At 48.7% G+C, this 14,921-nt stretch overlaps 1 protein-coding gene and 1 pseudogene across 9 annotated transcripts in view, besides 5 other annotated features; one reads left to right on the top strand and one right to left on the bottom strand.

The window, feature by feature from the left end:
* Positions 1 to 14,921, bottom strand: part of LHPP (phospholysine phosphohistidine inorganic pyrophosphate phosphatase) — a 152,319-nt gene that overhangs the window by 120,012 nt on the left and 17,386 nt on the right. For all 9 annotated transcript variants that reach the window (XR_001747177.3, XM_005270026.4, NM_022126.4 and 6 more), the window contains exons 2-3: positions 9,804 to 9,991; positions 5,555 to 5,708 (exon numbers count right to left, since the gene is read on the bottom strand). Coding sequence is in view for 8 of the 9 variants with exons in the window: in XM_005270026.4 (XP_005270083.1) it covers positions 5,555 to 5,708; positions 9,804 to 9,991 (342 nt within the window). In the remaining variant the exon portion in view is untranslated. The remainder of the gene's footprint in view (positions 1 to 5,554; positions 5,709 to 9,803; positions 9,992 to 14,921) is intronic.
* On the top strand, positions 3,515 to 3,938 carry RPS10P18 (ribosomal protein S10 pseudogene 18; annotated as a pseudogene).
* Positions 9,380 to 9,915: an enhancer, noted in NCBI's record as "H3K27ac-H3K4me1 hESC enhancer chr10:126172784-126173319 (GRCh37/hg19 assembly coordinates)". NCBI's record gives its function as "activates a minimal SCP1, AML or CMV promoter by ChIP-STARR-seq in primed H9 embryonic stem cells {active_cell/tissue: H9 hESC(primed)}" and the evidence as "EXISTENCE:reporter gene assay evidence [ECO:0000049][PMID:30033119]".
* Positions 9,916 to 10,452: an enhancer, noted in NCBI's record as "H3K27ac-H3K4me1 hESC enhancer chr10:126172247-126172783 (GRCh37/hg19 assembly coordinates)". NCBI's record gives its function as "activates a minimal SCP1, AML or CMV promoter by ChIP-STARR-seq in primed H9 embryonic stem cells {active_cell/tissue: H9 hESC(primed)}" and the evidence as "EXISTENCE:reporter gene assay evidence [ECO:0000049][PMID:30033119]".
* Positions 12,063 to 12,599: an enhancer, noted in NCBI's record as "H3K27ac-H3K4me1 hESC enhancer chr10:126170100-126170636 (GRCh37/hg19 assembly coordinates)". NCBI's record gives its function as "activates a minimal SCP1, AML or CMV promoter by ChIP-STARR-seq in naive H9 embryonic stem cells {active_cell/tissue: H9 hESC(naive)}" and the evidence as "EXISTENCE:reporter gene assay evidence [ECO:0000049][PMID:30033119]".
* Positions 12,136 to 12,430: a silencer, noted in NCBI's record as "tiled region #8895; HepG2 Repressive non-DNase unmatched - State 23:Low, and K562 Repressive non-DNase unmatched - State 7:EnhWF". NCBI's record gives its function as "represses a minimal TATA promoter and a strong SV40 promoter by Sharpr-MPRA in HepG2 and K562 cells {active_cell/tissue: HepG2 | K562}" and the evidence as "EXISTENCE:reporter gene assay evidence [ECO:0000049][PMID:27701403]".
* Positions 12,839 to 12,990: a silencer, noted in NCBI's record as "fragment chr10:126169709-126169860 (GRCh37/hg19 assembly coordinates)". NCBI's record gives its function as "represses an EF-1alpha promoter that drives an FKBP-Casp9 reporter gene in an ReSE screen in both phorbol 12-myristate 13-acetate-treated (for megakaryocytic differentiation) and untreated K562 erythroleukemia cells {active_cell/tissue: K562 | K562(+PMA)}" and the evidence as "EXISTENCE:reporter gene assay evidence [ECO:0000049][PMID:32094911]".

Raw genomic sequence — 14,921 nt, 5'->3', positions numbered from 1 at the left:
AAAACTGAACGTGCAACTGAAAATACACAATCAAAACCTTGTCTTTGCATGCTAATCTTTAGAGTCCAAGGAGAACACGAACTTCCAGAAATCAAAATGAGAAACTTTAACGTTTATTTTTTAAAAAACTGAATCTGGGCTTGATTTTATAGTGCCCAGAATTTTTCTTTATTCCTTATTCATTCAGAAAAACAAAAAGGCATCTTGAGGCCAACTGTTACCTGGAAACATTTTTTAGAGACAGAGCAAATATAAGCACTTAAAATTTTTTTTTAATATAAAGGCCCGGTAATCTCCACACACTAGAGATGCGACGTATTTCTCCTGTTACTGGTTACTGGTTTAACCCAGCCAACGGCAGCCCCACTTAGGACGTGAATGTTCTAGCCACAAAGAGGAACCCGTGGATGCTGGAAAGAAAGGGGGAAGCCCGGGAGGAGGAGTCAGATGCGATTTTATGCTTTATTCTTCTGCCGTTTCAGATTATTCAGCACAGCCTCCCTGCAAATGACCACTTGACCTTTCCCAGAAGAGCCGTTAACCTTCCATAGTCTGTCGGGTAAACAGCTTAATTTTCTGAGAGCGGCATGACAGAAGAAATTACAAAGCCAATTCCCACTCTGGGGTCCAAACAGATGCCAAATGTAAATCACTCCATTTCCAGGAGAGGGACAGTCTGCCCCGGCGCCTCCACCCGCTGCTCCTGCCTCCTTGGTGGGCACCGCTCAGCCTGTGCCCCTGTGTCCCGCAGTGCAGGATGGACCTCACCAGCAGTGACCCACAGCCGAGGACGGCATGGTGATGGCAGCTCTCGGGGGGTCCTCAGGCTGTCCTGAGAAGCTGGGACCTAGTCCCTAAAACCGCCGGTTCCTTTCTCTGGTTTTTAAACACCCAGAACCCCCATCAGCAGAGACGCCACTAATCTCCTACTTTAAAAAAACCCTTGTCTACTATGACATTTGCTGCGGTATTACAAAGCTGAAAGCGACTGCTTCCGGTTTTTTTTTTTCTTTTTCAACAATATACCTGTTCTGACTATTATTATCCATGATCTGGAATAGTGGTTTTTAATAATTATGAGACAACTTTTTTTCTTTTCTTTTTTGTAGAGACGGAATCTTACTATGCTGCCCAGGCTGGTCTCGAACCTCTGAGCTCAAGCCATCCTCTCATCTCAGCCTCCCAAAGTGCTGGGATTATAGGCGTGTGCCACGAAGCTCAGCATGAGACATCTTTAAAGAAAAAAGTGTTAACATTAACGAATTACAGCAGAGCTTCTTCATTATGCTTGTTCTCTAGTGAGGTGTTGGTGACTCAAAGGCCTAATGGGTCAGCCCGGGTAAATGAGTTAAGAGGCCAGGTTCTGTGGCTTGCTCCATAGCAGCGACCTAAATTGCAATGGGTGTAAGTTTAAAAAGGGACTACAAGGGTTAATTTAATATGTCAACTTGGCTGGGCCACGGTGCCCAGATATGTGGTCAAACATTATTCTGGATGTTTCTGTGAAGGTGTTTTTGGATGAGATTAACATTTAAATCGGTGAACTAGGAGGAGAGTACATTCCCTTCCGCAATGTGGGTGGACCACATCCAACCAGTTGCAGGCTTTACAAGAACAAAGACTGACCTTCCCCGAGCAAGAATCCCACCAGCACACAGCCTTACGACTCTGCTGCGCGCATTCCTGAGTCCCTAGCCTGCCAGCCCTGCCCTGCAGATTTTGGACTCGCCAAGCCTCCACAATCTCTCTACATATCTATATCCTGTAGCTTCGGGCTTCTCTGAGGAACCCTGACTACATACAGGACACATTTTATTTATATGAGAAACATACTAGAAATTTTTTGTCACTAAAAAAATCTTTTCATTTCTTGAAACATCTTTCACTTGTCCATTTTTGATAGAGACACAGCGTGAAGAAGTACTTCTCTACTTTGAAAAAAACAACAAATGGCACACGATCAATGACAACTAACTCTGTGGTCTGGAGACAGGGACGACAGGGAGGAGTGGGGTCTGCAGTAAATTCAAACTAATGGAGGCAGTGGCTCCAGCTATGGCTGCTGTGTGTGCAGGAATGTGAGGCTCCGTATTGTCAGATCTTCTGATTCTTCAAAAGAATCCAGAAATCTGGATATTTTGTGTAAAATATCCCCATTTTTAAACACAGCCTCAAAAATACATTTAAGGTTTTGTTGTTTTTTTCGAGATGGAGTCTTGCTCTGTCGCCCAGGCTAGAGTGCAATGGCGCAGTCTTGACTTACTGCAACCTCTGCCTCCCAGGTTCAAGCAATTCTCATGCGTCAGCCTCCCGAGTAGCTGGGACTATAGGCACGCACCACCACACCTGGCTAATTTTTGTATTTTTAGTAGAGACAGGGTTTCACCATGTTGGCCAGCCTGGTCTTGAACCCCTGGCCTCAGGTGATCTGCCCACCTTGTCCTCCCAAAGTGCTGGGATTACCGGCGTGAGCCACTGTCCCCAGCCCACATTTAAGGCTTGTGTGGGCAAAAAGTCTGCTCTAGAATGTAGCTTAGAGGTAACACGCACAGGGTCTGGGGTCAGCCACACCAACTGGCACTCCTGATCCTATCAGCACTCAATGGCTGGGGGACAGCAGCTTATTTCATCTCCTGTGGCTTCAACAACCCCACTTGCAAAACAGCAATGACCTGCCTAGATCCCACAAGGTTGTAGTCAGAATTACACAAAACGGGGTACACAAAGTGTGTGGCAGTGGCCAATGGCCAGATAAAAAGTCCCTCCCTGTCGGTTCCATCAGCTGGTCCCGTACAGCAAGCAGAGGCAGTGAGCGCTGTCACCAGAAGCAACGAAAGCACCGAAGATGGAAAACACTTCCTCCGCCACCGCCTCGGAATTCCCACACTTCATGAGATGCTGAGGTAGACACTCCAAAGTGTCCTTGCAACCCTGGGAGCCTGTGATTCTAGAATTCTAGCTGTGTAGAACCCTGTGATTCTAGAATTCTAGCTGTGCAGAACCCTGTGATTCTAGAATTCTAGCTGTGCAGAACCCTGTGATTCCAAAACTCTAGGCTGTGCAGAACCCTGTGATTCCAGAACTCTAGGCTGTGCAGAACCCTGTGATTCTAGAATTCTAGCTGTGCAGAACCCTGTGATTCCAGAACTCTAGGCTGTGCAGAACCCTGTGATTCCAGAACTCTAGGTTGTGCAGAACCCTGTGATTCTAGAATTCTAGCTGTGCAGAACCCTGTGATTCTAGAATTCTAGCTGTGCAGAACCCTGTGATTCCAGAACTCTAGGTTGTGCAGAACCCTGTGATTCTAGAATTCTAGGCTGTGCAGAATAAGTCTGTGCAGCTTTCTGGAAACAACTTGGCAACATGCCTCAAGAACCTCAAAAATACTCGTTCTGTAACTGTATCTGGAGACGTCATCCGAAATGCACCAAGATGCTCATCACAGCCCTGGTATGGTGAAAAACCAGGAACAATCTAGATGCCATCAGCAGAGATCAGTTAGAAAAAAATCATGCTTTCCAGCCCCGGACCTGGACCCTACAGCTGCAGAGATGTTGATGCCTAAGAAGAACCAGATTGCTATTTATGAACTCCTTTTTAAGGAGGGAGTCACGGTAGCCAAGAAGAATGTCCACCTGCCTAAGACCCGGAGCTGGCAGATGAGAATGTGCCCAACCTTCACGTCATGAAGGCCAGGCAGTCTCTCAGGTCCTGAGGTTGCAGGAAGGAGTTTGCCTGGAGACATTTCTACTGGTACCTCACCCACATGGGGATCCAGAATCTCTGCGATTACCACCATCTGCCCCTGGAGAGCGTGTCTGCTACCCCATGCCACAGCGGTCTGGAGACTGGCAGGCTGCGGCCTAAAGGTCTGGAGCGTGACCGACCTGCAAGACCCACAAGTGGGGAAGCCAACAGAGACACCCACAGACAGGGAGAGATACCCACAGACGAGGAGAGACACCCACAGACAGAGACACTCACAGGGACACTCACAGAGAGACACCCACAGACAGAGACAACCACAGACAGAGACACTCACAAAGAGAGACACCCAAAGACAGAGATGGACACCCACAGATGGGAGAGATACCCACAGACAGAGAGAGATACCCACAGATGGCGAAAGACACCCACAGACAGAGAGAGACACCCACAGACAGACAGCCATAGAGAGAAAGAGACACCCACAGATGGAGTGCTGTCCCCCTGGTGCCAGTGAGAAAGCTGAGGCTGGGAATGGGTCAGCAACCGAATTTCAGTTTACAGGCGTATTTGGTCGTGGACATGGTCAGCCACCTCAGTAAAACTGGTGAGGGTTATTTTGCATTGAATAAACTTATAAGCAGAAAAAAAAAAAAAGAAAAAAATTACAAGAGGTTGGGGGCGGTGGCTCATGCCTGTAATCCCAGCACTTTGGGAGGCCAAGGCGGGCGGATCACAAGGTCAGGAGATTGAGACCATCCTGGCCAACATGGTGAAACCCCGCCTCTACCAAAAATATAAAAATTAGCTGGGATGGTGGCGGGCGCCTGTAGTCCCAGCTACTCAGGAGGCTGAGGCAGGAGAATCGCTTGAACCCGGGAGGGAGAGGTTGCAGCGAGCCGAGATCACGCCGCTGCACTCCAGCCTGGGTGACAGAGCGAGACTCAGTCTTAAAAAATATATATATATACAAGATAGCCACACCATAGATAACCATGCCCCAAGACATATCCATTTGCTGCATGCTAAGTCAGTCACAAATATTGTTTGGTGAACAATAAAAAACAGATGACAAAACAAGGTCAAGTGTGACATCGATGCTGTGAACATCTCCATCCATAATAGTCTATTCGCACAGGAAGCCACTTGCAAGGACATACACCAAAATAGGGACAGGTGTTTTCCTCGTGCAGTGGGACTAAAAATACTTTCTGGTTTCTTCTTTTGCTCATCTGTATTGTCTAATTTTTCTTCAATGAACATGTGCTATCTCAGTGTAAGAAAAATGTTAAAAATAACCAACACTGTTTTGTTTAAGAAAGAGATGGCAAGGCATGTGCTAAAGGCTCAGACAAAACACTGATCACAAAATCACAACTTCACAGAGACAGTGATCTGTGGCCAGAGACTGTCGGTGCCCAGACTGGGTAGGCCCTCAAGCCTATGTTTTACTAATTAGACAACCCTTGAGAGCATTCTCCAACACCCTGCTACATCCTATGCAAATGCACCTTCTCCTTCTTTGCTCTAAACTTGGGACAATCAACACTTGGCCTCTGAGATCTCCAGAGGGTCTCCCTCTGCAATGACGCCCTCTTCTAGTCTAGACTCCACATGGAAGCTTGATCAACCAGCTCCTGAAGACAGTGTTCCTATTTCCTAAAGAAATGATTAAAGGAGAGGAATAAAGAAATGAAGAGAGAAAGCATGAAAAAGGGAGGGAAAAGAAGATCACCGGTGCTCCTCCCACCTCCCCTTCTGCATCCTTCTCTGCCTGATTCCGCAAGTTGGAGACTGGCACAGCATCATCTAAAGCACCGAGAAATGACTCTCCCTGGAGCCAACTTACCCTTTTCCCAGTGATATGAGCACAGGTTTTTCCAGCTCCATGAGCACCTGGAAGGCGTTATTCATGTTTTGATAAGAAAAGCTTTCTCCTGCGTCTGCAATTACCACACAGTTTGGGTTGGATGTGTCGATCTGATCAAATTCTGAGCGGACTCCTGGAAAGAGAGAGAGAGACAGAGTGCCACGGAGCCCTGGGAGGACATGGCCTACCTCCCCATCTCCTACCAGGGACACCTTTCACATGTCCTCCCCCTTTCTCAGATGCATTTCTTTCTGATCATCACAGCTGCCATGGGAGGTAGACACAGAAGGGTTATTCCTATTTGACAGAGGAGGGAATTCGGCTCCTCAGAGAGGGCTTATGAGGAGAAAGGTGGACACACCCAGGACCCTCCATCCCAATACCACATCAGCCCCAGGAGCTCCCTGAGGTCACTATCGCAGGCAGGAAACCCACAGCTTTGCTACTGAGAAGGGAAATCTGCTCAGAAGACACTGAGAGCCTGCAGCAGGAGGAAATGGGGCTGCACAAGCCTTGGAGGGTTGGCACTACTGGTCCCAAACTGTAAGAACCGTTGACACATTTCAGGCAACCCCACACATATGTCCTGAAGAAAAAGCAGAATTCCATCCCCACAGGTCCAGTTCACCAGCTCCCTTAGGAAACTCTCTTCCTCCTTCTCCTTCTTTGTCTTCCCCCATTTTAAATTAAAATAGGAAAATTTGCAAGGATACATCAAATCATTGGATCTGTGTTTTCAGATCCTAGAAGAAACATGCTGTCATCTCTCTTAGGACTAGATGTTGACCTTTCTAAATTGAAAAGAAACTGAGGCCAGGTGCGGTGGCTCATGCCTGTAATCCCAGCACTTTGGGAGGTCAAGGTGGGCGGATCGCCTGAGTTCAGGAGTTCGAGACCAGCCTGGCCAACATGGTCAAAATCCCATCTCTACTAAAAATACAACAATCAGCCCGGCACGGTGGCGGCCGCCTGTAATCTCAGCTACTCAGGAGTCTGAGGCAGTAGAATCACTTGAACCCGAGAGGCAGAGGTTGCAGTGGGCTGAGATTGCACCACTGTATTCCAGCCTGGGCAACAGAGCGAGACTCTGTCTCAAAAAAAAAAAAAAAAAAGAAAGAAAGAAACTGAAATACACAATGAGATACGATTTCATACCCACCAGAATGGTGAGAATTAAAAAGACTGATAACACCAAGGTCTGGTGAGGATACTGAACAGCTGCAGCAGATGGAGGACGTGTAAAATATTGCAATCCCTCTGAAAAAAAGGTCTGGCAGAATTTTACAAAGGTGAACATACATGTACCCTATGACCCAGTAATTTCGCTGCTAGGTATTTACCCAAAAGAACTGTGTAAGAATGTTCATAGCAGATTTGCTCATAATAGACTGAAACTGGTCACAATCCAGGTATCAACAACATGTGAATGGATAAACTGTGGTCTGTTCACTCAATGGAATACTATTCTGCAATAAAAATGAACAACACTGCTGATACATGCAATAATATGGATGAGTCTCAAAAACATTACGTTGGGTAAAAGAAGCCTTACACAAAAGACTACTGTGACGGAAAGGGTTAACTCAGCAGGACTAGGTTGCTCAAACCCTGTACATTCCAAAAAAGGCCTGTCTTCAGGACTGGCTCCTGGGAGATAACCTCTGAGCCACTGCAATGTTCTACCTGATAAGGGGTTTTGTATGCTCAAGGCCTCGGGCCCTGCTCTCTCAGTCTGACCAGATCATTTACGCTAACAGCTTGGCTTACAGTGAACACCTGTTTCTGTATCCCTGCGGCCCTGGCCCAGCTGTATCAGTTTGGACTCTGTGGGGCTGGAGACTGAGTCGCTAAAGTCAGTCACACAGGTGCTAATGTCTACACAAAAACCCTGGACACTGAGGCTCCAGTGAGCTTCCCTGGTGGCCAATGCTTCCCATGTGTTGTCACACATCATCGCTGGGAGAATCAAGTGTGCCCAGTAGGACTCCATTTCGAAGGGACAACTGGAAGTTCATGCCTGTCTTCTCCTAGACTTTGCCCCATGTGTCTCCTCTCTTCGCTGAATTTAATCTTTATTCTTTCACAGTAATAAGTCTAACTGGGAGTGTAATACCTTTTCTAAGTTCTGTGAGTCCTGCTAATGAATCATTCAGCCTGGGGGTAGCACTGGAGGCCCCAGCACAATTATATACTGTATGATTCTATTTACATAAAATTCTAGAATAGGAAAACTTATTTATAACGGAAAAAATCCAAACAGTGGTTGCCTCTAAGGGGACAAGGGGTGAAGACCACCTGGGCAAGGTGCGAGGTAGCTGTCAGAGCTGTCAGTGATGGTGATGGTCTAGCTCTTCACGGGGTTGGGTTCCATGGGTGCATGCATATGTCAAAACTCAGCAAAAGTACACTTGACGTGTGTACATTTCATTGTATGTAAATTTTACATCAAACAGGAAAAACCGTAAACAAATACCAAACTCCAATGATATGCTGAAGTGTATAGGGGAGTATACCCGTGTCTGCATTTTACTCGGAAATGCATCTAAATAATAACATGGATAGACAGACGGAGGGATGGATGGATATAAAGTGAAGAAAATATCAAAAAATGTCATTGACAATCTAGGTGAAGGGTATAAAACTATGCCAAGTAAGACCGGAGGCGGTGGCTCACGCCTGTAATCCCAGCACTTTGGGAGGCCAAGGTGGGTGGATCACCTGAGGTCAGGAGTTTAAGACGAGCCTGGCCAACATGGTGAAACCCCATCTCTACTAAAAATACAAAAATTAGGCGGGCGTGGTGGCACACACCTGTAACCCCAGCTACTTGGGGGGCTGAGGCAGAAGAATCGCTTGAACCAGGGAAGCGGAAGTCACAGGAAGCCAAGATCACACCACTGTTGTACTCCAGCCTGGGTGACAGAGCAAGACTCTGTCTCCAAAAAAAAAACCAAAACTATTCCAAGTAAAAATTATTTGAACTTTGTTGGATGCTTGAAAATTTTCATAAAATGTTAGACAGAAAATCCACCAATGACTGAAAAAAAAAATTCCAAGTCTGAAAACAAGGGTCTAGTTATTGAAAACACGGATGCAGGATTACAGCTGAGGAAGGGCATTCATCCTCCCTTCAGCCTCCCAGCTTTGCCGTCTGCTTGTCTGATTCACTGGCCAAGGCCACCCTCCAAGCGGATGCCCACTTCCCTCTCCTGCTGGCTTCTTCCAGCTCCACTCCCGGGTCCAGCAACCCTTTTCTGGAGGGTGGGGCAAGATATTTTTCTTAAATCTTCTTTCTTTGAAGACCATGTTCTAAAGGCACTAGCAGGGATCCTAGATTACAGAGAAGGAATTTTGAGAAACATGATTTCTAAAGGCCAGGCCTGTCACCCTTAACTGGCACCAGGGCTATGAAGTCGACATCTAGGCTTTCCAGGGAGCACCCGCCACTTCTTGAGAGCCCCCACCTTGCCCTGGAAAGGAAAAAACCATGTTTGCCTCTGCCTAGCAGTTTGTAAAACTAAAAATATCAAGTGCAGAGGAAGGAAGAAGGTGCAGTGGACCAATGGAGAAGTGTCTGGAATTGCTAATGTCTCTTCTTTTTAAATATTCAGGAGGCACCAGTAATATTGTTCCTTCTGCTTCATTCCAAGAAAACCTCCCCACTGAGGGTCAAAGGGGCTGTCTGTTCTTGCATTCAGACTAAAATCAGGATGCAAACCTTGTTCCTACGCCATTTGCAAACTGTTCCAAAGAGCAGGGCTGGTTTTCACATAGTTGAAGGCTATGGTGCCAGACGTTAGAAGCTATGGACCTCAATGTAGCTTCTCATTTATATTCATTCATTCTCATTCTCATTTTCTCTCTCTCTCTCTCTCTCTCTCTCTGTCTCTTTCTCAACAGGAGCTAGAACTCCGCCACCTTGACAATTCCCTGGCCGCTTGGTCCATCCTAGATCAGGAAAGAGAGCCTAGGATTTTCCTCCCAGGAGCCATCCAGAACCTGCTCTAAGGACCCTCTGGTGTGAGGCCAAGGAATGGACAGAGCTGGGTCCTAACCTGCCCCCAGCCCCCAGCAGGAAGTCCCATGAGGTTTTTACCCCCAACCCATGAGTGTTGGTGGCCTAGCTCAGTCAGTGGTTTGGCCCAGTGAAAGAGGCTCTCTGCACAGCCCCCACCCTGGGAAAGGGGAGCTTTCACCCCCGTGAGGTCCTGGTGTCCGACAGGCCTACCGTCATGGATGAGCAGGTATGGTCGCAGGCCTTGCTCCTTCAGGATCTGGCAGGCAGCTGGTGCCGGGGCGGTCACCTCCTGCTCAGAGATGTCAAATCCCAGCCTCTGAAGCTGCCCCACCAGCTCTGCCCGGGACTTCTGCGACTCGTTGGTGCAGAACCTCACCTTCAGCCGGGAACGCTTCAGTCTGCGGCAGGGGAGACACAGGCCCGGGAAGTCAGCACGTGGAGTGTTGGGCCTCTGAAGGAGGTTGCGCGGTGATTCTCGAAGGGCATCCAGCAAAGCCCAGAGCAGACTAGGCCACTGCGAGCCCCTGAGGGGGTCCTGGCTGATCCAGGATGTGTTCAGGCTGGGATTTCTGAGCTGAAGCAGATCCCTTCTCAGAGGACCCCCATACCACGCCCCGACAACTCTTTTCCATCCTCACTGGACTTCATACACCTGAGGCTCCCCGAGGTTCCCCACCTGACCCCCCTTTTCATTGCCTCTCCCCTTGCCTGGAATGCAACTCTGTCCCCCCGCCTCTCTACCTGTGCCACTTCTTTATTTTTTTTATTTCTTTATTTTTGAGATGGAGTCTCGCTCTTGTCGCCCAGGCTGGAGTGCAGTGGCATGATCTCAGCTCACTGCAACCTCCGCCTCCCAGATTCAAGCGATTCTCCTGCCTCAGCCTCCAGAGCAGCTGGGATTACAGGCGCCTGCCATCATACCTGGCTAATTTTTTGTATTTTTAGTACAGATGGGGTTTCACTATGTTAGCAAGGCTGGTCTCGAACTCCTGACCTCAGGTGTCCCAAAGTGCTGGGATTACAGGTGTGAGCCACCGTGCCTGGCCCACCTGCCTGGCCACTTCTACCCAGCCCCTGAGATCCATGCAATACCTCCTCTCCACAATCCTGCTCAGCCTGGCTAGGGGCCACCTCTGAATGTCCACAGCTATTTCTCTGTCCCTTTCCACCACATTTGGCATTTCCACTTGCAAGTGAGCTGCACACGTCCACGCCTTACTAACTCTGGATCCATACTTCCCAAAAAGTACAAAGGCAGATGGCCCGAGACAGGTTTGTCTTCTCATCACTGTCAATGGAGAAAGGTTTGCCAAAGTCATCAGGGACACCAACATTCCGGGATGGACAGACAGGACGTGGACCCTGCCCAAACCCAGCCTGGAGGTCTCATGAACTTCAGGATGCTGCCACTGGCCGGCGGCACCGAGCTTCTTCCCTCCTGACTTCATAGGAGACCCGCGAATCCAGGCTGCACCTGGGCAAGTTCTCAGAACGCACCAAATGAAGTAACATCCACCCTTCTGCAAACTGTCACTGAGCGCCTACTACGTGCCTGGCACTGGCCTGGTGCACAGAGCTGTAGTCGTGAGCATGGAAAAGTTCCCTGATCTCCAGGCCACCATCCAGGTTGGAATAGGAGGAGGTTGGAATAGGAACAAGAGACCCTGCAAAGGAAGGGCAATTTGTGACTGAGAAGAGAGAGACGCTATGCAGAATATAAACAGGGTGAGCAGACAGAGGGTGACAAGGTGGGGTAGGAAGGTCAGGGGAGGCCTCCCTGGGGAAGCAAGAGAGAGGGCCAGGGTGTGGTGCTTCTGTGCAGGGAGAGGAGGCTGGAGGACCTGGCGCCCACCAGGAAGGGACCCGAGCGTGCTAGAGGAACCTACAGAGGCAGGCGGGGTGGGTCACTCAGACCTGGGGGGAGGGTGACAGGCAGGACCTGGCTCCCTCGCCAAGATCACAAGATCCCTTCCTGGACAAACCGGCCCCAACAAGGCAGCGGTCATATTTGACATCTGCATGGAGCTGCAGTGTGGACTCGTGGAAAAGACATCAAGCTGCAAGCCCAAGGGCCGGGAGGCACTTTTAAGAAACCCTAGTAAAATTAATCAGCCATGCTAATTGCATCTGGCACTGTTCTCAGACAGGTCCCGAAACACACACATTCCACTGATCTCCAAAGATGCAGACATCTTGGCTCTTCACCTATTCTTTCAAGTTGTGTATTTTTTATAACCTAAGCAATAGTGTTAAATGAATAATTTAAAATTTATAGAAAACACACATAGAGAGGAGGCATGTGCTCAAGTTCTGTTTACAGATGTGGCCCAATGAAATGAATACACGCAGATTCAACCCAGTTACTAGAACTACGGCTTGAAATCAACTTCCATCTGAGCAAGTGAGACCCAACTAAAAACTCAACTCAAACTGAACCCAGTGTGAATGTAATTTATCCATGTTATGGGTGAGGGACTGAATCCCAGAAATGTCAAGGGCTTTCTGTTCCGCTCTTGAGCCTGAGACTTTGGAGATGGAGCTGATATCTACACACAGTGGAGTCAGGAACAGGAAATCAGCACTCCTGGAGCTCTCCCACATAGTGGGGAAAGGACACAGCCCAGTGTGGGGTCTTAAAAGACTGGGGATTCAGGCCCAACTGGAGACCTGAGGGACGGACAAGGAGATGGCAGGAAAGGGCAGGCCAGGTGGTGGGAAGGGCCACCCACCTTGCGCACAGGCAGGTGTGCACTGGCCCCACCCTCTCGGATAGAAAGAACTCGAGCAGCGTGGGGTATGTGGAAGGTGGAGCCAGGAAATGAGGCTGGAGTGGAGGACCACTGAGAGGGCAGATAAGGCAGAGCATGGTGGCTCAGTCCTGTAACCCCAGCACTTTGGGAGGTCGAGGTGGGTGGATCACTTGAGGGCAGGAGTTTGAGATCAGCCTGGTCAACATGGAGAAATCCTGTCTGTACTAAAAATACCAAAAAAAATTAGCCAGGTGTGGTGGCGGGCACCTGTAGTCCTAGCTACTCGGGAGGCTGAGGTAGAAGAATCTCTTGAACCCAGGAGGTGGAGGTCACAGTGAGCCAAGATCAAGCCACTGCCCTCCAGCCTGGGTCACACAGTGAGACTCTGTCGCAAAAAAAAAAAAAAAAAAAAAGGGGGCAGATAAGCCAGGCACGATTCCCCACCAGTGAGAGAGGGCCCCAAATACAGCCATGAGTGGTAGTGACAGCTACTACAAAAAGGTGGCAGGACTCAGGCCAATGTCCCTTCCTCCCACCATCCAGTGTGCCATTGCCTCCGCCCTGTCTCTGTCAGTTTTTGTTTGTAACACTAACCAGTGTCTCCAATCATCTGATTTACGCAATTGTCTTTCTCACTGGCCTACGAGCTCCAGGAGTTCAGGGATGAATCTATTCGGGTCTCCACGGCATCCCCAGGGCTTCCCACAGGGCTTGGCACTCCACAATCCCCCATTAACATTTGCTGAATGACTGACTGACTGAGAAGTCTAAATGACCTCACCCACTACTTCCCTGAGGGTGTCCTGAGCCTGCAGCCTCCTTATAACCCCCAACAGAAACAGACAGGCTTCAGTGGTGAAAACACATGTTTCTGCACTGAAATGAGCCTCCAGACCCCCAGCCCTGGAGCTGACAGGTGCAATTTAGGAAGAAATCTGTAGATCTGCTGACCACATAGTGAATGCAGACCAGAGGCTGGCAACGTCTTCTTCAATAGGATGGGTGATTCATTCCTTTCTTATTATTTGTCTTTCCTAATCAGAGGTTTATGAATTATCAATTACACTTAGTGGTTAATTGCCCTTCATAAAGATAGTTTTATTTTTAAATTAGGCAGTTAATATATTGTAACTAATAGCGTCACCTTGTACATTATGGATAGATCTCCATTGATTGGCACCTGGAACGTGTGATTTGCACCCAAGTTAATGGAGCAGTTGAGTGAAGAAGTGCAGGGGGTCCCCTGGGACTAATTATTGCTAATGAATGATGATGTGACCTTCTCAGAACAGTGAGCAATCGATGTGACAGTGAGATGACAGTGCCTCACATCTGTTATTCCAAACACAACTTCAGATGTGGATGAAACATGAGTAAGTCACAGAACTCACTTTGGGACTCTTAAGCCACTGGCCTCCTCTGAAATAGCAATATAAGTTCATTCAGCCTATATGCTCTTATAATATCAAGTGCTAGTTTTAGAGACGAAATCTATCCCTGAAAAATCGGATGTGAAATGCTGGGGTAAGTCCGCTCCCATTGGGTTCTGTCCTTCTGCGCCCCGGACCACACCCCCCTTTGAGCCGTCACCAGAGACCCATTCTGACCACCAGGGACCAGCCCCAGGTTGCCTCTTCCTTATTTTAAATTACTGAAAATAAAGAAAGTAGGCACTATTGTTTAAAGAGTAAAATATTAATACAACATTATACTGAGCCTTGCATCTGGGTAAGGACGGTGGTGTCACTCAGGATCCATGATCTGATTTTGTCCTCGTGCCCAAGGTATTTGCTGTCCCTAATGGACATCCCCAAGGCCCAGGTGCCTGGCTGTCAGGTGGCCCTCAGTAAGTCGTACCCACTGGGTAAACGAGCCTATGAGGCAAGAACCATTATCTCCACTCTAGAAAGGAGAAGATGGAGGCCCCAGGAGACAGAGACCTGACCAAGGTCACACAGCTTGTAAGCAGCAAGGCCTGTGAGCCCAGATGGGGAGTCCTAACCCCCAATGTGACTGCATCTGGAGACAGGGCCTTTGTGGAGTAATTCAGGTGAAATGAAGGCATAAGGGTGGGACTCCCACATGACAGGATCAGTGTCCTAGGAGGAAGAGACACCAGAGAGCACCCTCATGAATGCACAAAGAGGCCATGTGAGCACACAGCAAGCCGGCACCTGCTTACAAGCCCAGAAAAGGGGCCTCACCAGAAACTGGCCATGCCGACCCCCTGATATCAGCCTTCCAGCCTCCAGAACTGTGAAAAAATAAACGTCTGCTGTTGAAGTCCCCAGTCAATGGCACTTGTTATGGCAGCCCAGGCCGACTAGGACAGCTAAGGAAGCAAACCCTTGTCATCCCTCCGTGGGGCCTGCCACCAGATGTCACAGACTAAGCCTTGGGAGGCATGAAGTACAAGAATTCCAAAATATCAGGAAAGCCCTAGTCAGGTGCGGCTCCAGGACCCCAGCAAGGCTTGCAGAGAGCTGTACAAAGAGCCCCTGCAAAGAAGGACAAGCCCAGCTCTGGGATGGGCTGTTCCCACCCCACCACCCAAGAACCTTGGGGAAAGGGGCCTTCT

Source organism: Homo sapiens, chromosome 10, assembly GCF_000001405.40.
Source record: "Homo sapiens chromosome 10, GRCh38.p14 Primary Assembly".
Taxonomy (NCBI): Eukaryota; Metazoa; Chordata; class Mammalia; order Primates; family Hominidae; genus Homo; species Homo sapiens.
Note: the sequence above shows the minus strand (reverse complement) of the source record. Positions and strands in the feature narration are given on the sequence as shown.